Source organism: Homo sapiens, chromosome 14 (genome assembly GCF_000001405.40).
Source record: "Homo sapiens chromosome 14, GRCh38.p14 Primary Assembly".
In the NCBI taxonomy this organism is placed as follows: domain Eukaryota; kingdom Metazoa; phylum Chordata; class Mammalia; order Primates; family Hominidae; genus Homo; species Homo sapiens.
In genome coordinates, this window is record NC_000014.9 from 36,880,251 (window position 1) to 36,907,594 (window position 27,344).

At 38.6% G+C, this 27,344-nt stretch overlaps 1 protein-coding gene across 4 annotated transcripts in view; it reads right to left on the bottom strand.

Moving 5' to 3' along the window:
- SLC25A21 (solute carrier family 25 member 21) overlaps positions 1–27,344 on the bottom strand; it is a 494,686-nt gene that overhangs the window by 202,330 nt on the left and 265,012 nt on the right. The window contains exon 1 of one of the 4 annotated variants that reach the window (XM_011537288.4): positions 8,501–8,773. The exons of the other annotated variants lie outside the window; for them this stretch is intronic. The gene's annotated coding sequence lies outside the window, so the exon portion shown is untranslated. Of the gene's footprint in view, positions 1–8,500; positions 8,774–27,344 lie in introns of those variants that run through there. 4 annotated transcript variants of the gene reach the window in all.

Here is a 27,344-nt window from a genome sequence, read left to right on the forward strand (position 1 = left end):
TGCCATGTTAGACAACAAGGTAACTTTGGGCATAGAGGCCACACACAGCACAGCAACAAGACAGACATAGTGGAGTTCTGGGTTATCTACCTCCAGACACTCATGTTGGAGAAAAATTTCTATTTTCCTTAAACTACTGCGATTTGGGTTTTCTTCCACATATGCTAATCTAACTCTGAAACAGGAGCTCCCTGAACTTGTATTATTGTGTGACACTACCACTGTTTCTTTTCTTATCTAGAAGCTCCACGAGGACAGAGACTCCATCTGCCCTCTTCATGTTTGTATCCTCACCACTTTGCACAATGGCTGGTACTCAGTATGCTCAATAAGTATTTGATGAATAAGTAAATTAATGCTCATTAGGGTTTCTGCCGATGCCATTATGTCAGCTAAATTCTCAAGATAAATTGAACTGGCAGCTATTTATTCTGCATTTAATTCATTAGTTTGAACCTTATATAAATAAGCAGATAAGGACAGAGAAACATTCATAAAATGATAGTAAATAAAGCACAGTAAGGACCTGAATACAGAAGTATGATATTGTTAATCACATATCCTGCTGTGTAAATGTTGGAAAACAACTAATCAATCAGCATCTAATAGACTGACAGATGATTGTCCAGAGCTGTGTGCATGCAGAGTAACGTGCTAGGTGCTGGAGAACACAGCCTGACGCTGCAACAAGGATGCTTGAAAGCCTGAAGGATTTCAAAGCTCAGCACAGAAGGGACACATTGAGAAAGGCTTTACATGTAAAGGGAAGACATTGAGCAGAAAATAGCAATACGCATAAAAATATGGTTCAGGCCTAGTAATTTAGTGTTGCTGTTGACAGTGTGAAATGTTACCTATGTTCTGCATCAATTCTAGTCTTACATGACTGCTTACGTTTATCCCAAATTGTCTACCTTCTTTGAGGAACTATGTTATTGTTCTGACAAAAACTAACGACAGAAAACACAGATAATCATTTAAAATTTTAAAATCAAAATGTTACATCATCTGTGGCCTGCGTATTCTTTATATTTGAGATTACTTGCCCTAAGTCACAAGGCTGATTTCTGGCAAGTAAAGACCATTTAAAATGTAAATGTGTGTGTGTGTGTGTGTACACATGAGGAAGTAGTTCTTAAAACTGTCACCAACTTTGCCCATGACCACTGATAGATATCTCATAACTCAACAATATCCTTTTTTCCTATGAGCTAGGAGTGGAAAAACCACATCAAAAGTATCACTTCCCAGAAAACATGAGGTTGTTCTTTTTCATTTCAGAGATTTAGAATGCTTACAACGTAAAGCAGAAGATCTTATCTCCACCCTTGCCCTTTTTTTCTACCCATTCCTTTACAACCTAGGTCACAGAAAAGAGACAATAGTGAGTGTGTAACTACATAGACGGACTGATTGATTGTGGAACATACCTCATCCCTGCCAACTCCTAATGGAACACATAGGTACAAAAATGTAGAATGCTGATGTCATTCCTGTGCTTTCCTTCCCACACTACCTCTGCCTTTACCTAGGAACAGTGTTGCAATGGGCTTTAGTAACCGTTTCAGCAATAGGAGGAAGGGATGTAGAAGACAAGCCGGGTGACCCAAAGTAGTAGCCATAAACATAATTAAAGGACAATGTTGAATGATCCTTTAGCACAGTTTATTTTACTATACACAATGTTATTATACACTGTTCTGTTCTGATACATTATTTGAGAACAGAGTATTCTAAATTTACTCTGCTTTATTATTACTAAGTCAGTTGACTGCTCCTTTCTCTACAGTTCCATTGCATGCACTAATTATTTTACATTGTATCACATATATCAAGAATAGCATATATCTGGCTGGGCATGGTGGCTCACACCTGTAATCCCAGCACTTTGGGAGGCCAAGGCAGGTGGAGCACTTGAGGCCAGGAATTTGAGACCAGTTTGGCCAACATGGTAAAACCCCATCTCTACAAAAAATACAAAAATTAGTCAGGCGTGGTGATGTGCACCTGTAGTCCCAGCTACTTGGGAGGCTGAGGCAGGAGAATTGCTTGAACCTGGGAGGCAGTGGTTGCAGTTAGTTGAGACCATGTCACTGCACTCTAGCCTGGGCGACAGAGGGAGACCCTGTCTCAAAAAATAAAAAATAACATTTATCATACAATACTCTGTCTCTCCACACTGCTCCCCGATTCCCCAGCCATTGCAGCCATTGCAGTATTCAACACCAGACACTGTAGTCTATGTGAATGGTATCTCTAGGTTGTGAACAATCTGTGTAGCCAAAACAAATGATGAAATCTTTGAGAAGAGGGAGCATTTATCTTTACTCACTGAATAAATTACATCAAATACCTGAAACCCACTGAAGAAGTTCTCTACCTACACTCACTCTCTTGGTGATCTCATCCAAATCCATGGTTTCAACTATGCCAAAAAACAATTCACCAATTTACATTTCCAGTCCAGACTTCCCTTTCAAAGTCAGGCTTAAATATCTGATTGCCTGTTTGACATCTCTGCCTGGATATCTAGTAGCCTAGATATTCAGTCTAAAACTGGATTCCTGACCCTGCACACCTCCATCCCCTTCGGAAACAACATGCTCAACCTTAGAATCATTCTGGATGCTTCCGTCTCTCTCACAACTCTCTTCGAATCTATCTGGAAATCTCTTTGACTCTACTTCAAAATATATCCAGATTTCTACCATCCCTCATGACCTCTACTTCTCCTACTCTGGTCCAAGTCATGATTATCATTTCTCAGCAGATCAATGGTAGCAGGCCCTTTACAGGTATCCCTCCATCTACCTTTGACCTCTCCCATCTGTTCTCACCCCACAGCCTGAGTGATCCTTTTAAATTAGAAGTCATTTCATGTCATTCTTCTGGTCAACAATGGCTCCCCATTATATTCAGACGAAAGCTACCTGTAACCCCAGCTTCATTACTCCTCTCACCTGCTGTCTTACAACTCTCCCCTCCACTGGCTCTACTCCAGCCACACTGGCTCTCTGCTGTTTCCCAACCTTGCCAGGCCTTCAGTAATAGGCCTTTGGTCTAGCTGTTCCCTCTGCCTAGAATGCTCTTCCCCCACATTCCACTTGGTCAACATCCTTCACGTGGACCAAGAGTAGTCCCGACCACTCTAACATAGACCTGCCCCTCCTTAGCCCAGCACTGATAAATGTCTTCACGCTGCTCTGCTTTTTCATTTCTCTCTAGTGTGTACCAACTTCTAACATACTATATCATTTATCTATTCATTGTGTTTATTGTTTCCTGTCTGTCTCTTCTGATGGAAATAAACTTCAAGAGAGCAGAGACCTTCATATTATCCATCGATATGCACTAAGTACCCAGAACATGCCTGGCACCTAGTAGTGCTCAATAAATGTTTGTTGAAAAAGAAACTGAATTATATAAGAGAATAAAACTGCTACAATTATGGGATTCCATTTCAGTGATATGTAGAGGACAAGGTTTTAAAAATTTAGTGTACCGAAAAGGAACTTCCAATCCAAAGAATCCACGATGATAATTTTTTAAACTGATCTTACTTATTTTTTTAAAAAATTATTTTATTTTTTAATGACAAATAATAATTTTATATGTTTATGGGGTACAATGTGATGTTTCATACATGTATAAATATACACGTATACATTGTGGAATGATTGAGTCAAGCTAATGAACATATCCATCACTTCATATACTTACAAACTTTTTGTAGTGAGAACATTTAAAATCTAATCTTTATGCAACTTTGAAATATGGAATGCATTATTATTAATTATAGTCACCATTCTGTGCAATAGGTCATGGAAACTTATTTCTACTGCCTTGCTGAAACTTTGTACCCTTTAATCAACATCTCCCCTTTCCCCATCCACTCTTCTCTCCCAGCCTCTGGCAACCTCCATTCTAGTCTCTATTCCATGGGTTCAACTTTTTAAGATACTGCATGTAAGTGCGATCATGCAGTATTTGTCTATTCATGTCTTGCTTATTTCACTTAGCATGACGTCCTCTGGGTTCATCCATGGTATCACAAATGACAGGATTTCCTTCTTTTTCAGGGCTGAAGAGTATTCTGTTGTATACATTTTCTTATCACTCATTCACTGATGGACATTTAGGTTGGTTTCATATCTTGACTACTGTGAATAATGCTATGATTAACATGGGAGTGCAGTTATCTCTTCAATATACCTATTTCATTTCCTTTGGATATACACCCAGAAGTGGGATTGCTGGATCATATATGGTAATTCTATTTTTAGTTCTTTGAGGGACCTCAATACTGTGTTCCATAATGGCTATACTAATATGCATTCCCACCTATAATGTATGAGGGTTCCCTTTTCTCCACAACCTTGCCAACACTTTTTATCTTTCATCTTTTTAGTAACAGTGATTCTCACAGGTGTGAGGTGATATCTCATTGCGGTTTTAATTTGCATTTCTCTGATGATTACTGATGATGAGCATTTTTCTATATGTCTGTTGGCTGCCTGTATGTCTTTTTTTGAGAAATATCTCTTCAAGTCCCTTGCTCATTTTTAATGGGGTATCTGTTTTCTTCCTATTATTTGAGTTCCTTATATATTTTGAATATTAGTCCCTTGTCAGATGTGGTTTGCAAGTATTTTCTCCGAACCCATGGGTTGTCTATTCACTCTCTTAATAATGCCCTTTGCTGTGCAGGAGGAGCCTTTTAGTTTGGCGCAATTCCATTTGTCTATTTTTGCTTTTGCTGCCTGCGCTTTTGGGGATATATCCCAGAAATCTCTGCCCAGACAGATGTCATGTCTATGTTTTCTTCTAGTAATGTTACAGTTTCAGCTCTTACGTTTAAGTCTTTAATCCACTTTGAGTTGATTTTTGTACATGATGTGAGATAAGGATCAAATTTCACTGTTCTGCACGTGGATATCCAGTTTTCCCAACACTATTTATTGAAGAGACTGTGCTTTTTCCATTGTATGTTCCTGGCACCTTTGTGGAAAATCAATTGACCATAAATGCATGGGTTTATTTGCAGGTTCTCTATTCTGTTCCATTGATCAATGTGTCTGTTTTTATGCCAGTACCATGCTGTTTTGATTACTATAACTTTGTAATAGGTTTGGAAGTCAGGTAGTGTGATGCCTTCAGCGTCATGTTTGCTCGAGGTTTGCTTTGGATATTCAGGGTCTTCTGTGGTTCCACACAAAGTTTAGAATTATTTTTTCTATTTCTGTGGAAATTAAACTGGAATTTTGATAGAGAGTACATTGAATCTGTATATCATTTTGAGTAGTATGGACATTTTAACAATATTAATTCTTCCAACCTATGAACACAGGGTATCTTTCCATTTACTTGTATTGTCTTCATGATACTGTTTTAAAGAGGAAGTAAGTGTACTGATAAGTTTTGAGTCTGTATGTATCCTGTAAGCAAAACAGAGGAATTATGTGTCTAAAATAATTTTGGTAAGTAGTATTTTATGGAGCACAAAATATCTTAACATCTCAGTAAACTGCAAAGCAGTGCAGACCAACAATTGGAGCATTCAGGATTCCCTGAGATGCCAGTTACAAGTGAAACCTGTTTTCTTTTTATCAGGCCCAAATCTTTGCATTGTACTACTGCCACTTCCTTGATGTTTTCGAATTAAATCCAAGACCCCTCTTATGTTCTCTGAAGTTCACACTGTTTTAACCATTTACTTAACTGATTTTGTGTAATATTCTTAAGTCTTTAAAACATAAAAAAATACTTTTATATTTTAAAGGGAACCATAGAGGAATGAATGGTTTCAAACTGTGCAGATTTCAAATTCAAAAACAGAACAACTACAGACAGAACTGATATATTTTCATCTGCTCTAGTAGTCAAGCAAATCATTACAACATCCTATTTGATAGCCTGCCCAGAAAATGTAGTAGCCCTACTCAATTATAAGCAATGTGAGACTCATAAAGGGAAATCAAATATATTATACTCTCCCCTAATAATAGTTAAGGTGCACTACCTTTGTGGCACAGTAAATTAATATTATACACACTGAATTGGCCAAATAGGCAACGTGATTTGGCAGGTTTGAAAGATGTTGTTAAAAGTTATGCGTTTGAGCAAGCCACAGCCTCCCTTGAAAAACTTGCAAACACTTTCACATAAGTTTACCATGTGCGTATATTTTTTAAACGTAACTAACACTAAGCAATGGCTGTTAGCATGTGTCTATAGGGAATGCAGTTTTCCTCACTGTATACTCCCTATTCTCATAGAGTTTACTTTTAACTCACTGAAGAATTTAGGGAAATATATTTCAGAGGTATAAACCATATGCACACATTATGGTCTAGAAATCACGGTAAATGGAGCATGTCTAAAGGAGGAAGAAAAGTTGAGACAGAGTTTTAAAATAAGTGAGTTTTTTTTAACTCACACTTTGAATGCAAAGATAGGCTGAAAATTATTAAACTAATGAAAATCTCACCTGTAAACAAAGTTTTTATGTAAGTCAATTTCAGCTCAATATAATGTCTTTAAAAAATATTGTTTGGTATTTTAACTCAATAGAAGTTATTCTTGTCTTCCTCTTTGTTATTTAACTCTATTTTAGACCCCAAGCAAGCTCCACATACACTTGGGTAAGTGAACCAATTTTCAGATGTGTTGGTCTTTTATGGAAGCTTACTGCTATATGTGGGCTTTTACCACAATCAACAATGCAACGAGAAACACCAGGGGGAAAATAAGGTGTGGATTAGTTGGCAGAAGGAAAAATTCTTTTGAGTATATAAAATGTCTTTAAAGAGAAGGAAATGTGAAGAAAATAGAGAGAAATAGAGGGCCACTTGTTTTATAGATTATATCTACATATGTTCTGTAATGTCTACATATTCATATATATTACATATAAATATGTATGAATATGTGAGATATGTAATGCATGCACATGTGTGTCTACATATATATATATATATATATTCATTCAGAAAAAGTTTGTATTGTATTTTGCTTATCTAAAGTGAAAAAAAGGCCAGGCGCGGTGGCTCACACCTGTAATCTCGATACTTGGGAGGCCGAGATGGGCAGATCATGGGAGCTCAGGAGTTTGAGACAACCCTGGCCAACATGGTGAAATCCCATCTCTACTAAAAATACAAAAGTTAGCTGGGCGTGGTGGTGCACACCTGTAATCCTAGCTACTTGAGCAGCTGAAGCAGGAGAATCGCTTAAACCTGGGAGGCGGATGTTGCAGTGAGCAGAGATCACGCCACTGCACTCCAGCCTGGGCAAGACAGCAAGACTCCATTGCAAAAAAAAAAAAAGGAAAAAAATTGTTCATGCTGACCAGCATTTCAACATTGGAAGGTCATTAAAATCCAGAAAGGCAGCTGAAGGAGGGGTTTAAGCTCTATGGCTTGGGGAAGAGGGCAGCTTATAGAGTACCAGGACCTCTATTTCAACTCCACACAAGACTTGCCCATTTCTGGGGACTCTGTTTGCTTTCTACCTCTCTATCAACCAGAAAGATACATATATTTTTCTCTTCTCAGAATTTCTTCTTTCTCTCTCACAACTTCTATGGAATTAGTTTTCCTTTCTTCTTTGATTTAATTGCCTAAAAAGAAGCTCTCAGTTTGACACAAGAGTCAGGAACAGATTGTGCTCCACCCTGCCCACCCCTCCAGAGACGTGCTGAAGCTGACTCTCACAGGCCAGGGTGTATGCCACACTTTCTCACTTGCATTCAGCGGCATCATGTTAGTAGCTCAAAATTGGCCATGGTGGGAGTATTTACACTAAGGAAGCTGGCAAATGCTATAAATCACAGTTTTTGTTTGTCTGTTTTCCAGGGAGGCAATTGTGAAACACTTACCAGCATGCTACTGCCCAAATCTGACCATAAATTCTGTTGCTTAGCCTACTAGGTTCAAATAGCTTTACAATTATAGTATATGGAGGGTCATTTTTAAAAATCTCCAGTAGTTCTTTAACTTTGCTAATTGCAAATTTCCAAAGGTGCCATAAAGTTAATCTTTAGCTTATATTCTCTGTTCATCACAATTTAATAATAAAAATTATGATCCTACATCAGAATTTTAAAAAATTCCTTAGAAAGTGATATTCAAGAAAACCAACCGACTTGCCAACCCACCCAACATGCCTGTGATTTGCCACTCTACTGTGCAGAAGTTTCTATTATGTTGACCACATAGAAATTAAGCAATGAGAGCAAATTATACAGATTATATCTATATATGTTCTGTAATGTCTATATATTCATATATATGTTATATATATAAATATGTATGAATATGTGAGATATGTAATGTGTCCATGTGTGTGCACAGGAAAATAGCTTCCTCCCTCTGTGCCCTTCCTACGGTGTATCTTACAAGAAGAAAGAGGAAATGTTGCTTCAAAGTCTGTTCAACCTTTAGCCATTCATTAGATGTACAGAAACAGGTGGAAGACCTCAAGCAAATACACATCATCTTACTAAATGAAGAATTCAGATTTGTAGGTCACAGGTAGCCAGGTCTTTTCTTCCCATTACTCATGGACACCTGTTACCATTAAAGAAAAAGAAAATGAAATTGTAATGCTTTTTCCCCACTCTAACTAGCATTACTTCTTGCAATCATATTCATCTTGACAGAGTAAATGACTTCTGACCATTAGCTTTCTTTAATATGTAGCCAAAATTGCTTGCGTTTAATTAATCACGCTGCTACAATACTTGTCTTTAGGTGTCAGCTTTTAATTTTATATTTGCTGATGACCTGGAACCATAGCTACACAAATTCTTTTTGAACTGTTATTCTACACTGGCCTCTTTGCTATGCTCCCATGAATTCTGACTTACTGAGCCAAGTATTCCAGGTAAATTCCATACACATATCCTTTATCATGGTCTGGCTTGTGGGGGAAAAGAGGGAGAAGGTTGACTCCATTTCACAGATTCCTTTTATAGGCAGCCATATAGTTTAATCACACAAGATTTCTACTAGGTGTGGATTAATTAGGATAATCTTTATTTCCACAAGAAAAACTTACCAAAATGAAACTGACTGCATGTCATGTAAAATAAGTGCCAGCTGAAGAACAATATTTGGATACCAAAGTATAAGAAATTACAGAAATACAAAGGTAGATACATTTCATAACATACATATTTAGTTGTAATAACATTGAATACATTAGTACTGATGGGAAACATTATCTTAATCAATTAATTAATTTGATTGATGTTAGAGACAGGGTCTTATTCTGTTGTTCAGGCTGGGGTGCAGTGGTGCAATCATAGCTCACTGCAGCCTCAAACTCCTGGGCTTAAGCAATCCTCCCACCTCAGCCTCCTACATATCTAGGATTACAGGCATGTACCACTATGCTCAGCTATTTTTTAATTTTATTTTTTTTGTAGAGACAGGGTCTCCACATGTTGTCCAGGCTGGTCTCAAACTCCTCCTCAAGCAATCCTCCCACCTCAGCCTCCCAAAGTGCTAGAATTCCAGGTGTGAGCCACAACACTCAGCCTTAAATAAAAATTAATGTTTGATTTCAGTTAATATTCTTAAATTACTAGCTCACTAAACAATATTTGCCTCTATGGCCTTCATCCCAACAAGCACCTTGGGATGCTTCTTTGCAACATTAAATTCTTTTTCAACATTAAATATGCTTTATCTCCCTTTTCTAGGTGTTGGACAAGTTCTTGTCCAGGACAGTTTTCATTCAACACATATTTTTTGAGTGCCTACTGTGTACATAGTGCTTCCAGCATAGTTCTAGATGCTAGTTTTCTTCTGGCTTATAATTTCACAGGGTAATAGGAAGCAAGGTTGTCAACCTAGAGTGAGGATAAGGAAGGGGATTTGGAGAGAGCAGGGGGAGGTATGAAATAGTCTTCTGCAGGAGGGAGGAAGGGATTGGGCCAGGAAAACATCATAAAATTACTGAGTAGCACTGAGAATCCATTTGAGGCCAATCGTCATGCATGTAAAGTGTCATTTTTGTCTACTGACATTCAGCTGTGTGGGTTTAGGAAGACTCACATTTAACCAGGTTAAGCTTTTGCCAAATGAATATGAGGAAATGACAGAGGGCAAAGGCATGAGTGCATGGCAGCGAGTAATTATAATGATTGGCCAAGGACTTAGGCTTGCAAGGAGGGAATTGAGGACATGATGGGGATGAGAACATGGTATTGAGAGTAGAGGCTTGTTGGTCCTGCTGGAATCAGGATACTGGAGGGAGAGAGGCAGAAAATAAGAGATGAAGTTAACACTAAGATAACTACTAAGTCCCACTTGTATTCATCTACAGTAACTACTAACATTTGGATTTTTTCACTGTATCCTCAATGTCCAGGATAAGGTACACCACAACATCCATGAAGTAAATGAAAATGTCAAATAAATAAAAGTTTGAATTTATAATTGAGTAATATCAAGTACCTGAAGAGCAACCACGTGGAGGAGTAACACATTCACCATTCCCTGAACTAGATTCAGATGTTCTCTTTGTTTTGATTGGATCTCCAAAGTTCACTTGAGTTTATGATTTAACAACTGTTTAAGTAATATCCTATAATGACCACAATATGTACACTTTAAGTAGTCAATATACCTAATAGTCAATGCATGTCGTAAAGAAATGCAAAAAATTTGAAACACTGAATAAAACAAGTGTACAAATACAGGCCTCCAAAGACGGGTTACTTTTCTAAGAACCAAAATACAACTGCCTTGAAAGACTTGTAATCGACAGTATTAAGTCCTCAAAAGTAAATGGATACATTTCATACTCATATTCCAAGACAAGGTTAGATACCAACGAATGAAAAACCTATTTTAAAGGACCTAATCATCTTTTCTAGGAAAGGCGGTGGCCCTAACTTTCTGTCAATCAATATAAAATGTATTAGCACTAAAAGAATCTCTTGATGGATGAAAATTATAACTCTGAAAATCTCCCTTGGAATTCTACAGGGTGACTACAAAGTCTGAAAACATATATGAATAAACATAATGTCACCAAGGGCATTGTAAATCCTTAAAAAAGTAAATTAACATTTATCTATTTTCCAGATTTCATAATCTGTTGGTGACTTCATAGGAGAGGTATGAATTCTGTATTCACTCAGTGACTGGATTTAGCTACCAGGTAATTTTTGAATAAATAGAGCAAAATGTGAAGAGCAACATTTCTATTATAACTCTGATTTCTTCATGTGCTGCTTTGATGCTACAAGGATCAATTTCTTCATTTATTCTCTTATACACTAAAGTATATATAGGCAACATGCAACACAATGGCAGAAACTAAAAGGAGTATTTATACTCCTGGGAACAATACTGTAGCACCAGCAAAATCTATTCCCTCTTTTTTTTCATGTTTCATGATGTCACAGCAAGATGGCGTTTCCCAGAATCTCTTGAGTGTAGCCATGTGACTAACTTTTCACCTATGGATAGGAGAGGCAGAGCGCGTAAGACTATGAATATGTCTCTTCAATACCCGATTTCCCCTTCCCACTAACTGGAACTTCAAAGAGGCAGTGATTTAAGTTATACCTTACAAATGACAAAGAATAGTCTAGGGGATTGTGGAGCAACCAGTGGCAGGAACCTGTGTCACATAGCGACCATGAAGAACAGAGATTCTGTGCTGACCTGGAAATTACAATCAGGGCTGCTACATGAAAGAGAAATAAGCTTGTTGTTCCTTAAGCCACTATATTGTTAGATCCCTGATGTAGTGGTTAAGCATTACCCTGATCAAACGGTGCCATCACAGACTTGCTAACCACATTATGTGTCCAAACATAGTTTGTCAGACAAAAGACAACAAGTGTTGGCAAGGATGTGGAGAAAAGGGAACCCTCACACACTCGCTGGGAATGTAAATTAGTACAGCCATTATGAAAAATAGTATGGAGGTTCCTCATAAAATCAAATAAAGAACTATCATCTGATTCAGCAATCCTACTACTGAGTATATATATACAAAAGAAATTAAATCAGTATGTTGAAAACATATCTGAACTCCAATGTTTCTTGCAGTTCATTCTGAGAGAGATATATTTAATGCTCCGATAATGCCAAAATGTGGAATCAACCTAAGTGCCCATCAGTAGATGAACGGATACAGGAAATGTGGTATATATAAACAATGAAATGCTATTAAGCCATAAAAAGAAGGAAATCCTGTGATTTGCAACATGGATGGTCTTAGAAGACATAATGTTAGTTAAATAAGGCCAGGAACAGAAAGACCAATACCACATAATCTCACTTTTTTTTTTATTATACTTTAAGTTTTAGGGTACGTGTGCACAATGTGCAGGTTAGTTACATATGTATACATGTGCCATGTTGGTGTGCTGCACCCATTAACTCGTCATTTAACATTAGGTATATCTCCTAATGCTATCCCTCCCCACTCCCCCAACCCCACAACTGGCCCCGGTGTGTGATGTTCCCCTTCCTGTGTCCATGTGTTCTCAATGTTCAATTCCCACCTATGAGTGAGAACATGCGGTGTTTGGTTTTTTGTCCTTGCGATAGTTTGCTGAGAATGATGGTCTCTAGCTTCATCCATGTCCCTACAAAGGACATGAACTCATCCTTTTTTATGGCTGCATAGTATTCCATGGTGTATATGTGCCACATTTTCTTAATCCAGTCTATCATTGATGGGCATTTGGGTTGGTTCCAAGTCTTTGCTATCGTGAATAGTGCTGCAATAAACATACGTGTGCATGTGTCTTTAGCGCAGCATGATTTATAATCCTTTGGGTATATAACCAGTAATGGGATGGCTGGGTCAAATGGTATTTCTAGTTCCAGATCCCTGAGGAATCGCCACACTGACTTCCACAATGGTTGAACTAGTTTACAATCCCACCAACAGTGTAAAAGTGTTCCTATTTCTCCACATCCTCTCCAGCACCTGTTGTTTCCTGACTTTTTAATGATTGCCATTCTAACTGGTGTGAGATGATATCTCACTGTGGTTTTGATTTGTATTTCTCTGATGGCCAGTGATGGTGAGCATTTTTTCATGTGTCTGTTGGCTGCATAAAAGTCTTCTTTCGAGAAGTGTCTGTTCATGTCCTTCACCCACTTTTTGATGGGGTTGTTTTTCTTGTAAATTTGTTTGAGTTCATTGAAGATTCTGGATATTAGCCCTTTGACAGATGAGTAGATTGCAAAAATTTTCTCCCATTCTGTAGGTTGCCTGTTCACTCTGATGGTAGTTTCTTTTGCTGTGCAGAAGCTCTTTAGTTTAATTAGATCCCATTTGTCAATTTTGGCTTTTGTTGCTGTTGCTTTTGCTGTTTTAGACATGAAGTCCTTGTCCATGCCTATGTCCTGAATGGTAATGCCTAGATTTTCTTCTAGGGTTTTTATGGTTTTAGGTCTAACATTTAAGTCTTTAATCCATCTTGAATTAATTTTTGTATAAGGTGTAAGGAAGGGATCCAGTTTCAGCTTTCTACATATGGCTAGCCAGTTTTCCCAGCACCATTTATTAAATAGGGAATCCTTTCCCTATTGCCTTTGTCAGGTTTGTCAAAGATCAGATGGTTGTAGATATGCAGCATTATTTCTGAGGGCTCTGTTCTGTTCCATTGGTATATATCTCTGTTTTGGTACCAGTACCATGCTGTTTTGGTTACTGTAGCCTTGTAGTATAGTTTGAAGTCAGGTAGTGTGATGCCTCCAGCTTTGTTCTTTTGGCTTAGGATTGATTTGGCAATGTGGACTCTTTTTTGGCTCCATATGAACTTTAAAGTAGTTTTTTCCAATTCTGTGAAGAAAGTCATTGGTAGCTTGATGGGGATGGCATTGAATCTATAAATTACCTTGGCAGTATGGCCATTTTCACGATATTGATTCTTCCTACCCATAAGCATGGAATGTTCTTCCATTTGTTTGTATCCTCTTTTATTTCCTTGAGCAGTGGTTTGTAGTTCTCCTTGAGGAGGTCCTTCACATCCCTTGTAAGTTGGATTTCTAGGTATTTTATTCTCTTTGAAGCAATTGTGAATGGGAGTTCACTCATGATTTGGCTCTCTGTTTGTTGGTTATTGGTATATAAGAATGCTTGTGATTTTTGCACATGGATTTTGTATCCTGAGATTTTGCTGAATTTGCCTATCAGCTTAAGGAGATTTTGGGCTGAGACAATGGGGTTTTCTAGATATACAATCATGTCATCTGCAAACAGGGACAATTTGACTTCCTCTTTTCCTAATTGAATACCCTTTATTTCCTTCTCCTGCCTGATTGCCCTGGCCAGAACTTCCAACACTATGTTGAATAGGAGTGGTGAGAGAGGGCATCCCTGTCTTGTGCCAGTTTTCAAAGGGAATGCTTCCAGTTTTTGCCCATTCAGTACGATATTGGCTGTGGGTTTGTCATAGATAGCTCCTATTATTTTGAGATACTTCCCATCAATACCTAATTTATTGAGAGTTTTTAGCAAGAAGCATTGTTGAATTTTGTTAAAGGCCTTTTCTGCATCTATTGAGATAATCATGTGGTTTTTGTCATTGGTTCTGTTTATATGCTGGATTACGTTTATTGATTTGTGTATGTTGAACCAGCCTTGCATCCCAGGGATGAAACCCACTTGATCACGGTGGATAAGCTTTTTGATGTGCTGCTGGATTTGGTTTGCCAGTATTTTATTGAGGATTTTTGCATCGATGTTCATCAGGGACATTGGTCTAAAATTCTCTTTTTTGGTTGTGTCTCTGCCAGGCTTTGGTATCAGGATGATGCTGGCCTCATAAAATGAGTTAGGGAGGATTCCCTCTTTTTCTATTGATTGGAATAGTTTCAGAAGGAATGGTATCAGCTCCTCCTTATACCTCTGGTAGAATTCGGCTGTGAAGCCATCTGGTCCTGGACTTTTTTCGGTTGGTAAGCTATTAATTATTGCCTCAATTTCAGAGCCCATTATTGGTCTATTCGGAGATTCAACTTCTTCCTAGTTTAGTCTTGGGAGGGTGTATGTGTCAAGGAATTTATCCATTTCTTCTACATTTTCTAGTTTATTTGTGTAGAGGTGTTTATAGTATTCTGTGATGGTAGTTTGTATTTCTGTGGGATCAGTGGTGATATCCCCTTTATCATTTATTATTGCATCTATTTGATTCTTCTCTCTTTTCTTCTTTATTAGTCTTGCTAGCAGTCTATCAATTTTGTTGATCTTTTCAAAAAACCAGCTCTGGATTCACTGATTTTTTGAAGGGTTTTTTGTGTCTCTATTTCCTTCAATTCTGCTCTGACCTTAGTTATTTCTTGCCTTCTGCTAGCTTTTGAATGTGTTTGCTCTTGCTTCTCTAGTTCTCTTAATTGTGATGTTAGGGTGTCAATTTTAGATCTTTCCTGCTTTCTCTTGTGGGCATTTAGTGCTATAAATTTCCCTCTACACACTGCTTTGAATGTGTTCCAGAGATTCTGGTATGTTGTGTCTTTGTTCTCATTGGTTTCAAAGAACATCTTTATTTCTGCCTTCATTTCGTTATGTACCCAGTAGTCATTCAGGAGCAAGTTGTTCAGTTTCCATATAGTTGTGCGGTTTTGAGTGAGTTTCTTAATCCTGAGTTCTAGTTTCATTGCACTGTGGTCTGAGAGACAGTTTGTTATAATTTCTGTTCTTTTACATTTGCTGAGGAGAGCTTTACTTCCATCTGTGTGGTCAATTTTGGAATAGGTGTGGTGTGGTGCTGAAAAGAATGTATATTCTGTTGATTTGGGGTGGAGTGTTCTGTAGATGTCTATTAGGTCTGCTTGATGCAGAGCTGAGTTCAATTCCTGGATATCCTCGTTAACTTTCTGTCTCGTTGATCTGTCTAATGTTGACAGTGGGGTGTTAAAGTCTTCCATTATTATTGTGTAGGAGTCTAAGTCTCTTTGTAGGTCTCTAAGGACTTGCTTTATGAATCTGGGTGCTCCTGTATTGGGTGCATATATATTTAGGATAGTTAGGTCTTCTTGTTGAATTGATCCCTTTACCATTATGTAATGGCCTTCTTTGTCTCTTTTGATCTTTGTTGGTTTAAAGTCTGTTTTGTCAGAGACTAGGATTGCAACTCCTGCCTTTTTTTGTTTTCCATTTGCTTGGTAGATCTTCCTCCATCCCTTTATTTTGAGCTTATATGTGTCTCTGCACGTGAGATGGGTTTCCTGAATACAGCATACTGATGGGTCTTGACTCTTTATCCAATTTGCCAGTCTGTGTCTTTTAATTGGAGCATTTAGCCCATTTACATTTAAGGTTAATATTATGTGTGAGTTTCATCCATGTCATTATGATGGTAGCTGGTTATTTTGCTGATTAATTGATGCAGTTTCTTCCTAGCCTTGATGGTCTTTACAATTTGGCATGTTTTTCCAGTGGCTGGTACCGGTTGTTCCTTTCCATGTTTAGTACTTCCTTCAAGAGCTCTTTTAGGGCAGGCCTGGTGGTGACAAAATCTCTCAGCATTTGCTTGTCTGTAAAGTATTTTATTTCTCCTTCACTTCTGAAGCTTAGTTTGGCTGGATATGAAACTCTGGGTTGAAAATTCTTTTCTTTAAGAATGTTGAATATTGGCCCGCACTCTCTGCTGGCTTGTAGAGTTTCTGCCAAGAGATCAGCTGTTAGTCTGATGGGCTTCCCTTTGTGGGTAACCCGACCTTTCTCTCTGGCTGCCCTTAACATTTTTTACTTCATTTCGACTTTGGTGAATCTGACAATTATGTGTCTTGGAGCTGCTCTTCTCGAGGATTATTTTTGTGTTGTTCTCTGTATTTCCTGAATTAGAATGTTGGCCTGCCTTGCTAGATTGGGGAAGTTCTCCTGGATTATATCCTGCAGAGTGTTTTCCAACTTGGTTCCATTCTCCCCATCACTTTCAGGTACACCAATCACACGTAGATTTGGTCTTTTCACATAGTCCCATATTTCTTGGAGGCTTTGTTCATTTCTTTTTATTCTTTTTTCTCTAAACTTCTCTTCTCGCTTCTTTTCATTCATTTCATCTTCCATCACTGATACCCTTTCTTCCAGTTGATCGAATCGGCTACTGAGGCTTGTGCATTCGTCATGTTCTTGTGCCTTGGTTTTCAGCTCCATCAGGTCCTTTAAGGACTTCTCTGCATTGGTTATTCTAGTTAGCCATTCGTCTAATTTTTTTTCAAGGTTTTTAACTTCTTTGCCATGGGTTCGAACTTCCTCCTTTAGCTCAGAGTAGTTTGATCGTCTGAAGCCTTCTTCTCCCAACTCATCAAAGTCATTCTACGTCCAGCTTTGTTCCGTTGCTGGTGAGGAGCTGCATTCCTTTGGAGGAGGAGAGGTGCTCTGATTTTTAGAGTTTCCAGTTTTACTGCTCTGTTTTTCCCCATTTTGTGGTTTTATCTACCTTTGGTCTTTGATGATGGTGACGTACAGATGGGGTTTTGGTGTGGATGTCCTTTCTGTTTGTTAATTTTCCTTCTAACAGTCAGGACCCTCAGCTGCAGGTCTGTTGGAGTTTGCTGGAGGTCCACTCCAGACACTGTTTGCCTGGGTATCAGCAGCAGAGGCTGCAGAACAGCAGATATGGGTGAACAGCAAATGTTGCTGCCTGATCGTTCCTCTGGAAGTTTTGTCTCAGAGGAGTACCTGGCCGTGTGAGGTGTCGGTCTGACCCTACTGGGGGATGCCTGCCAGTTAGGCTACTTTGGGGTCAGGGACCCACTTGAGGAGGCAGTCTGTCCATTCTCAGATCTCCAGCTGCATGCTGGGAGAACCACTACTCTCTTCAAAGCTGTCAGACAGGGACATTTAAGTCTGCAGAGGATTCTGCTGCATTTTGTTTCACTATGCCCTGCCCCTAGAGGTGGAGTCTACAGAGGCAGGCAGGCCTCCTTGAGCTGCAGTGGGCTACACCCAGTTCGAGCTTCCCGGCCTCTTTGTTTACCCACTCAAGCCTCAGCAATGGCAGGCGCCCCTCCCCCAGCCTCGCTGCCACCTTGCAGTTTGATCTCAGACTGCTGTGCTAGCAATGAGCGAGGCTCTGTGGGCGTAGGACCCTCCGATCCAGGCACAGGATATAATCTCCTGGTGTGCCATTTGCTAAGACCGTTGGAAAAGCGCAGTATTAGGGTGGGAGTGACCCAATTTTCCAGGTGCCGTCTGTCACCCCTTTCTTTGACTAGGAAAGGGAATTCCCTGACCCCTTGTGCTTCCTGGGTGAGGTGATGCCTCGCCCTGCTTTGGCTCACTCTCAGTGTGCTGCACCCACTGTCCTGCACCCACTTTCCGACACTCCCCAGTGAGATGAACCTGGTACCTCAGTTGGAAATGCAGAAATCACCTGTCTTCTGCGTCGCTCATGCTGGGAGCTGTAGACTGGAGCTGTTCCTATTCAGCCATCTTGGCTCCATCCCCCAATCTCACTTATATGAGAAACCTAAAACAGCTGATCTCATGGAAGTGGAGAGTACAATGGTGGCCACCAGAGCTGCCAGTGGGTGTGGGGTGGTGCAGTGGCCAGGGAGATGTTGATCAAAGGATACACCATTTCCCCAGCCTGTCCTTGGATAGGATGAATACATTTTGAAAGGCCTGTTGTACAACATGATGACTTTAATTAACAAAATATTGTATTCTTGAAAATGCTAAGAGAGTGGATGTAAAGTGTTCTTAACACAAAAACGGTAACTATGTGGAGTAATGTATGTGTCAATTGGCTAGATTTAGTCAGTCCACTATGTATCTAATACAAATTAGTACAATTGTACTAATTTACAAAACATCATGTTGTACACAATAAACACAGACAATTTTATCTGTCAATTAAAAAATAAATTTAAGGTTGGGTATGGTGGCTCATGCCTATAATCCCAGCACTATGGGAGGCCAAGGCAGTAGAATTGCTTCAGGCCAGGTGCTCAAGACGATCCACGCAAACATAGCAAGACCCTGTCTCTATTTGAGAAAAAAACTAAAATTGAGGTAAAATAAAATGAAAATGAAAAGAAAAAAAAATGTTTAAGTAGAGTTCAACATCAAAACACAACATTCTGGAAAGAGGATCCCAAAGCATATCATGATGTCTAATAAAGGAAGACAAATTATAAATAACCAAATCTGCATACAAAATAGGGTTTCAACCTACTCTTGAATGCAAATTGACAAAATGGCACCGTCTCCGAACTAAATTCAACTTACACCAAGGAAGAAATGGGATTGGCCCTTCTTGCCTACAGGGAGAATGGTAGCATCATGAAGTGTGCAGAGACCAGGGCCAGGAGGCTTCACTGGGTTCATTCAAGCTGCATCTGAGGTTTCTCTTGCCTTGCAATGGGTTTGGGAACATCAGTAACTGAAAACTGAGTCCAAGTATGTGAGATTTAAACTCACTGTGGAAGATACAGTTCAAGTTAGACCATCATATAGTTATTAAAATGAGCAGAATCTAAAATGCCATTGTCTACAAAAACTGAAACAATACTGTTTCTTCCACTGCAGGGTTTAATTTATTCAGCATTTATTTCAGGCAACTTGAAAGATACTCTTAAAAGGGGATAATTGTGTTTTAAAATGGTGTTTTCTGGGGTGAACACATATTTCATGTTTTCTGTTTTACCTTACTAGTGAAAAGCTGGAGGAATTTGTATGAGAGAAACAATGCTGTCTTATTCATCCAGGTAGTCAATTCCAACAAAAATAATTTGTCAGGACTCTTTTGGTTGTATGAGAGAAAATTCAACACCAACTGGCCTAAACACAAAGGAGGAATTTGTTGGCTCATAAATGAACTGACGGAAATGGCAGGGATGCTTGGCTCCAAGACTCTTTCTCACATGCCCTCATCTGTTTGTCCCTGCTTGCTTTATTCACTCCTGCTTCAGAGAAGCACACTGCCTCTGAAAGCCTCCACCTCCTGTCCTGTCATCTTTATGATGCAAGAGGCAAGCAGAACTCTGCTTGCTCCAGAAGATAAATCCCTAGAAGGGCTTCGATTGGCCTCACTTTAGTCACATGTGAATCCCTGGCCAATTGCTGTGGCCAGGAGGATAGGGACATCTCATTGGTAGAGTTTTAGGCACATGTGTACTCCTGTATGGAGGACTATCGAGAAGGTCAGAGCTTTAAATCTCTGCGCAACATCTCTTTCTTTGTAATTTGAAAAATGATAAGACTGGGTTTGGAATATTCAAATGACACTTTTGCTGCTTCCTACCCTATCTAACTTTTAATCTTAATTAACTGACTCCTTTCCACACTACTAACAACCCAATGACAATGGTACTGGGATTAACTAATTGCACTTCATCTCAAAAAACACCTTTCCTATTAGGAATTCTAATTTATAGTTTGGTTATTCTATGTTCCTGTGAGATTAGCAAACTTGGAAAGGAAATGAAATGGCTTGAGTTTTAAATACACATTTAGTTCATAAGATGTTATGTTAACTTGTGGATAAGGCCCTGGCTCACCTAAACTTGTCATTTATAAAGTATTTATCATGTCAGGGAAGGTGTGCAGAAATAGGGAAGACATAATCTCTACTTGAAAGATTTACATAACAACTCTGGGAGCCATTGCAATAGGGCATTTTGATTATTAAAACTGTGAACTGCTTCCTGGAAGGGCAAATAGAGGTAACTTTGGCTGCATGTTACAATCCACAATTCAATTTGGCATAGCATCTTGCATAAAAGTGTATCCCAAACCACTTTACAGAAGTGAAATTTCCGTTCTCAAGCCAATATATGCTATATATTACAGAACAGCTGTGTGCAAACATTGCCTCATGGAAAAAAAAATCTAAGACATTAGGTCATGAGATGAAAACCCAAAGGAGAATTTAGGAGTAAGGACCAGTAGAGCTGGAAAGAGGGAGAAGAGCAGAGACCGATAAGAAAGGAAACACATTAATTTGCAAGATTTAGGAATGGATCTTTGATGAGTTGAAGATATATCAGACACTTTTTTCCCCAGAAAATGTTGTGAGACAATCTTTTTATATAATCCAAAGGAGTAGAAAAGGTTAAATAAACAAAAAGTATGAGGTAAAGACTGATAAGCCTTCCAAATAGTAGCACAAGTAGATGGATTAGTAATCTCATAGTCATATGGAATAAAGGCAATAATATTCTGTATTTTGAGTTAATCTGAACTATGGTAAACTATTACCTATATAGATTAGAGGATAAGATGTACTTTTAAAGCTAACTACATAAGCATAAACTCTATAAATGAACTGCATTTAAAAATAAATAGAATTTTATAAAACATATTTAATACTAACACAAATCAATTAGAATATACACTTTTAGAATCGTGCTTGGTTTCAAGAAAACATAAAAATATTATTTTTTATTTTGGTTTTAGTTGTAAAAGTACCAGTTAGTGGAAAATTGTATCTAACAAATAACAGGGCATTTGCAGTACTTAAACTGAATCCATAATATAGAATTCTGCTTTAAAACCTAATCAGTTTAAGTAAAAATTACTCCCAAGGATATAGAAAGGCAAAATAAAGGCTATTTAGATTTTCTATAATTTAAATAACAGTAAACTATTTTTTAAAACTTCCTGTTCTTCATTCTGAATGTTCACTTAAAGCTTAAGTTTCTGCATCAAATGTCATCTTCATAGCCAATTAATCTTCTATGCACTGTGTATGACAAACATTCAAGTCCCATGAACTCCAAGGTCATCCATTTAACAAGAGGTTTACATGACTCATTAAAAGTTATGCATTCTTTTAAGGGGATATACTTTTGAGTATTGGAGTTTTCCACATAAAAATATGATTAACTCTGTACCTTGTGTAAGTTACTTATGTTTGGCATCTACCCATTTAAATTTGGCAGATATCTCATTTTACATGACACATATAACACTATGCAGGAAGAATGAAGAAAGTAAATCCATATTGTATTATTTCCCCAAATGTGTGGAAATACTGGATTCCTCAGACAACCTTGAGAAGCTTTCCAGAGACTATTCTGATGAGGGTTGTAGCTATGCTGTTTAGGTTGTCCTTGCCAGTCACAGTCTTATACCAGAGTCCAGCCATCCCAGTGATTACACAGGTAGGGTCAAAGATGACTATTCAGCCTGTGCTAGCTCTACTCTGGTGGCTAGTGTCTCAACTGTGCCATTCTCTAAGGAGCGAAGTATCGTATAGTAAAACACACACACACACACACACACACGAACTCTGAAAATCTGGGTTTGAGTTTTGTATCAAGTTTCACAAATCACATATTCCAGGGGTTCTTAACCTGTGGTCGGATTTTGGAAAAAGGAAGGTGTTCATAAACTACTAGAAATTATATGATAAATTTGTTTTTAAGTTTATTTTGGTTTGTGCTAGTGTTAATTTTTACGGCAGAGGAGGCCATGACTTTTGACAATTTCTTCAAAATTTCTATATTCCCAAAATGTTCAAAAACTACTTATTGTGGCGGGGCACAGTGGCTCATGCCTGTAATTCCAGCTTATTTAGCGGCCAAGGTGGGACAATTGCTTGAGGCCAGGAGTTCCAGACTAGCTTGGGCATCTCTACAAAAAATAAGAAAAGAAATCAGCTGGGCATAGAGGCTTATGCCTGTAGTCCCAGATACTCAAGAGACTGAGGCAGGAGGATTGCTTGAGGCCAGGTGGTTGAGGCTACAGTGAGCCATGATTGCACCACTGTACTCCAGCTTGGGCAAAACAAACAAACAAAACCAAAACAACAACAACAACAAACCTGACTCACTGAGCTTCAGTTTTCTTCTTTGTAAATGGGAATAAAAATAATAGTGGTTCTACTGGCCTCACACAGTTGCCTTGAGAACCAATTTAAACAGAGTGTAGAAGTACACTATAAATCATCACTGCACAAACATTTGCTATAACTAGCCTTGCTGCCATTATGTTTTTATCAGTTTATGTGAACATTTCTGCTTACACAATGTCATGAACAAGGAACTCAAAATCTTCTCTTTCTTTCAAGAGCCATTTCATAGCTCGCCCAAGCATTCAGCAATGGAGACTGAGGCCCTGTATCCAGAAAATGGCCCACAGATGTGTTTTGTTCAGTTCACATAGTGTTCTTTTAAAAATAAATTGCTTTGGGAGGCCAAGGTGGGTGGATCACTTGAGGTCAGGAGTTCGAGACCAGCCTGGCCAACATGGTGAAACCCCGTCTCTACTAAAAATACAAAAAATTAGCCAGGCCTGGTGGTGCATACCTGTAATCCCAGCTACTCGGGAGGCTGAGGCAGGAGAATCGCTTGAACCCAGGAGGTGGAGGTTGCAGTGAGCCAAGATTGTGCCACTGCATTCCAGCCTGGGTGACAGAGTGAGACTCCGTCTCAGAAAAAAAAAAAAAAAAAAAAAAAAAAAAATTGGTCGCCAAAATTTAAAAATCAGGAGTTTTCACATAAAAAAAAATCAGAGTTCTAGATTGCTTGATAAACTAAAATAAACATCTGGCTTCCTTGAGTCACTCTCCCACCATTCAACAACCTGCTGGAGCTGAGTTTAGGAACATGTGCTCCTCAGTTGAAGCCAGCTCCCTTGCTTCCCTCCTCTGACTTTCGGATTAGCCATGTAAGTGTCCAAGCTGAAAGCTGATTCTAAATCGAACTAAGCGCAATCACTTTGCTTTGAAAATATATGCAAGAAAGTGTCACTCTTGCCTTTTTTTGTTCTTAGAAAGTTCTTTCAAACTTCAAATACAGAATAGTTAGAATAAACGCTCAGGCAATTGAGGACAAACTGTCAATATTTTCCACGAATACTGCTTTTCCTATGACTGAATTCTTGTCCTTTGAAAGAGCATCCTCTGACAAGAACAGTGAATGGCAAGACCCATTACATAATTATAAGATCCAAGAAAGAGGCAGGTGATGCGATTGAGGGGGACGCTATAGGCTTAGCCAATGGGAAATCCCGACCCAGATTCAAAAATTGACCACGCGTAAGTCAATAGATATGGAGAAATAAATGGGTTGCTCACATATCATTCGGGAGAATCTGAAATAAATCAGCAACTCAAAGGGCCATCTAGTTTTGTCTTGAGCAAAAATGCCACTTTTAAGGGTAAGAAAATTATAAAATACAGAATGGTTTTTCCCTTAAATTTCAAAGGTTGCAAGAGATTTTTGCAAGCCTAATTTCTCTGGAACTTAATAGGAGAAAGAGCCTCTAGGAAAATTGAAAATGTATGGAAAATATAACTAAGGAAGTTCTTGATTTTTCTCCCTCTTCAATCAAATGTTCTCTCGTTGTATTAGTCTGTTCTCACACTTCTGTAAAGATAATACACAAGACTGGGTAATTTATAAACAAAAGAGGTTTAATTGACTCACAGTTCCACATGGCTGGGGAGGCCTTAGAAAACTTACAATCATGGCAAAAGGAAAAGCAGGCACCTTCTTCACAATGTGGCAAGAGAGAGTGTGAGTGTGTGGAGGAGGAACTGTCAAACACTTATAAACCCATCAGATCTCTTGGGAACTCACTTACTATCACGAGAACAGCATGGGGGAAATCGCCCCCATGATCCAATCACCTCCCACCAGGTCCCTCCCTGGACATGTGAAGATTATGGGGATTACAGTTCAAGATGAGATTTGGGTGGGGACACAGCCAAATCATATCACTCGTGTTATGAAGGGCCCCCAAATTATGAGGAGGCCACTGTGGATTACAATGAAGTAGCAAAACTGGCCCAGGTAAACCTATTTAGATATGATTAGAATGAATCCTACTCCCTTCCAAAATAATTGTTAAATTCTAGGCCAAAATTATTGGTTCTAAGGTACACTCTATTTTTCTAAAATTGGTGCTACTGGCATTAGAATTTTGATTCCAAAGAAGACTATAACAATTACCTTGACCTATGAAAGATTTCAAGATTTATACAGTCATTACCAAACTACAATTTATGCTGGATCATGAACTATGGTAAATGCTTCAGCAAAAGCTATGTGGTGTAACAGAGGCCACCCATTTCAGCAGAATAGGCTGTAGGAAGTTTTTCTAAACCTAATTGCAGGGGCCATTTGGGTTAGAGTGAGGTTGCACTGTAAATCTGCCATTCTTAGAGGGCCAACTTTCTCAATGCATATTGAATCAATATTCCTGCTATGAAACTGTGTAAGCTAGATTCTGTGCCACTGTAGTAAAATGCTCCTCAATAAACTTGTTTTCACAAGAAGCTTGCCCACTCATGCGTCCCAAAGCTGTTGTAATCTTCATTGTTGAGGCTGATCTAACAGCAGGAACATTATTCTATTTCTTGACATGTTTAAAGTTCTCTAATGAATAAAGCTAACAGCTTATGGCTGCTACGACTGTCACTTGATTACCCCGAAGGGATTTTTTTTTTTGTCTTTAAAATTGGCCTCCTAGTTTGTTTTTAACTACTTTGTGCACAGAGGTCTGAAGGAGAAAGCAGATCAAAGATAGGCTAGCAACATAAAAAGCAGCTGTAGTTAATTAAAGGCAAATGAAGGACATCTGACCAGATTCTTTATGAGCCGCCTTGTCACACATTCAACAGTCTATAATCTCTGTGACCTTGTCCCTTGATCCTGAACTGTCGCCAAACCTGAGAAATGGATATGGCTCAAGTTATATACAAATGGAAAAAGGGAAGGGATATTCAGGGTGTGGCTTAAGAAAGAGGAGGTAACGTGGCAGAAGAACACAATGACAGTGAAGTGACCGGCGATATGCAGAAGTCACCCAGGGTTTCCGTTATAAAGCAGTGAGTCTTTCCCATATTCAAAATAATTTGTCCTAAAGAGGTAAATGTAGGTAATCAGATTATAAAAGGTACTATTTGGGAGGTGAAACTAATACTTATTCTCCTATGATTTGAAAGAAAATGAATTAAAAATATTTTTACAGTATGCACTATTTGAATTTTTCAAGCATTATAATTGTTCCTATTTTTAAAAAGTGATTCAAATCTAAAGCACTTAAGTAAAACAATGACTTTTTCTAAGTTGAAAAGGAATATATGTTCATTCAAAAAATAAAAAATTCCAGAAACATGTAAGAAAATAAAATTTCCCCCAAATCAGAGAGAATTCTGTCAAGATTTATATTTAAATCAATAGAAAAATATTTGGGATACAAATGGTAGGGAAAAAAGCAGCAAAGTAGCACAGTGCCTATGGTTGTAGATGGCCAAGATGACTCTAATGCATGGATGATGAAGCAACAGGTCTAGATTCTGGGAAGTTGTTTAATTTCTTTCCTTCCTTTTTTTTTTTTTAGATGGAGTCTCACTCTGTCGCCAGGCTAGAGTGCAGTGGCATGATCTCGGCTCACTACAACCTCTGACTGCCTGGTTCAAGCTATTCTCCTGCCTCAGGCTCCCAAGTAGCTGGGATTACAGACATGCGCCACCACACCCAGCTAATTTTTGTATTTTTAGTAGAGACGGGGTATCACCATGTTGGCCAGGATGGTCTCGATCTCCTGACCTCATGATCCACCCCCTCAGCCTCCCAAAGTGCTGGGATTACAGGTGTGAGCCACCATGCCCGGCTGGGAAGTCATTTAATTTCTATCAGCATCAGGAAAATGGCTGTGAGGGTCTGCACTGGTCCTTAAAAATGCATCTCCAGCATAGACAAAAGAAAAGCCATTGCAGTTTGTATGATCTCCAAAGCAACTGGACAGCTCCTGTCTCTGCCTGTTAACTTACTTTCTAGAGGCCCAGAAAAACACATACCATGCCCTCTATGGAGATTGGGGATCATTGGAAAAATGCCAGCTTCATAGCATTGTGTAAGAAAATAGGGGGATCGTATCTCTAGGAAGGCTTTGAAAACTGCAAAGTAATACTTATTATCTATTATTAGCAATAATTGAGATGCTATGGAGGACACCAAAATCAATAAGGACCTACCTTTGAGAGTTTTTTATCATGTACTTGGAGGAACAATATAAACAAAAATAAAATGTCAATAAAAAATTGAACATAAGTTCAACTTTACAGTGTAAGATGTGTGCAAGGTAACCATCAAATCAACTGCAAAAATCTGAGAAGAGGCTATGAAGTAAAGAGCATATATTTTTGGCTTGTTTGTTTTGTTGGTTGGTTGGTTGGTTTTGTTTAATTGACAGATAAAATTGTGTGTATTTACCATGTACAACATATTTTTTGAAGTATGTATACATTGTGGATGCTTATTTTTTTAAAAAAACCTATCAGAACTAACCGACACAAACGAGTGCTACCCTTTCAAAGTTTTCACCTTGGCTATCATCTACAAACGTACTAAAAATACATTGCCACCAACTAAAACATTTTTGGTCTTTATAAGATTCCCTTGAGC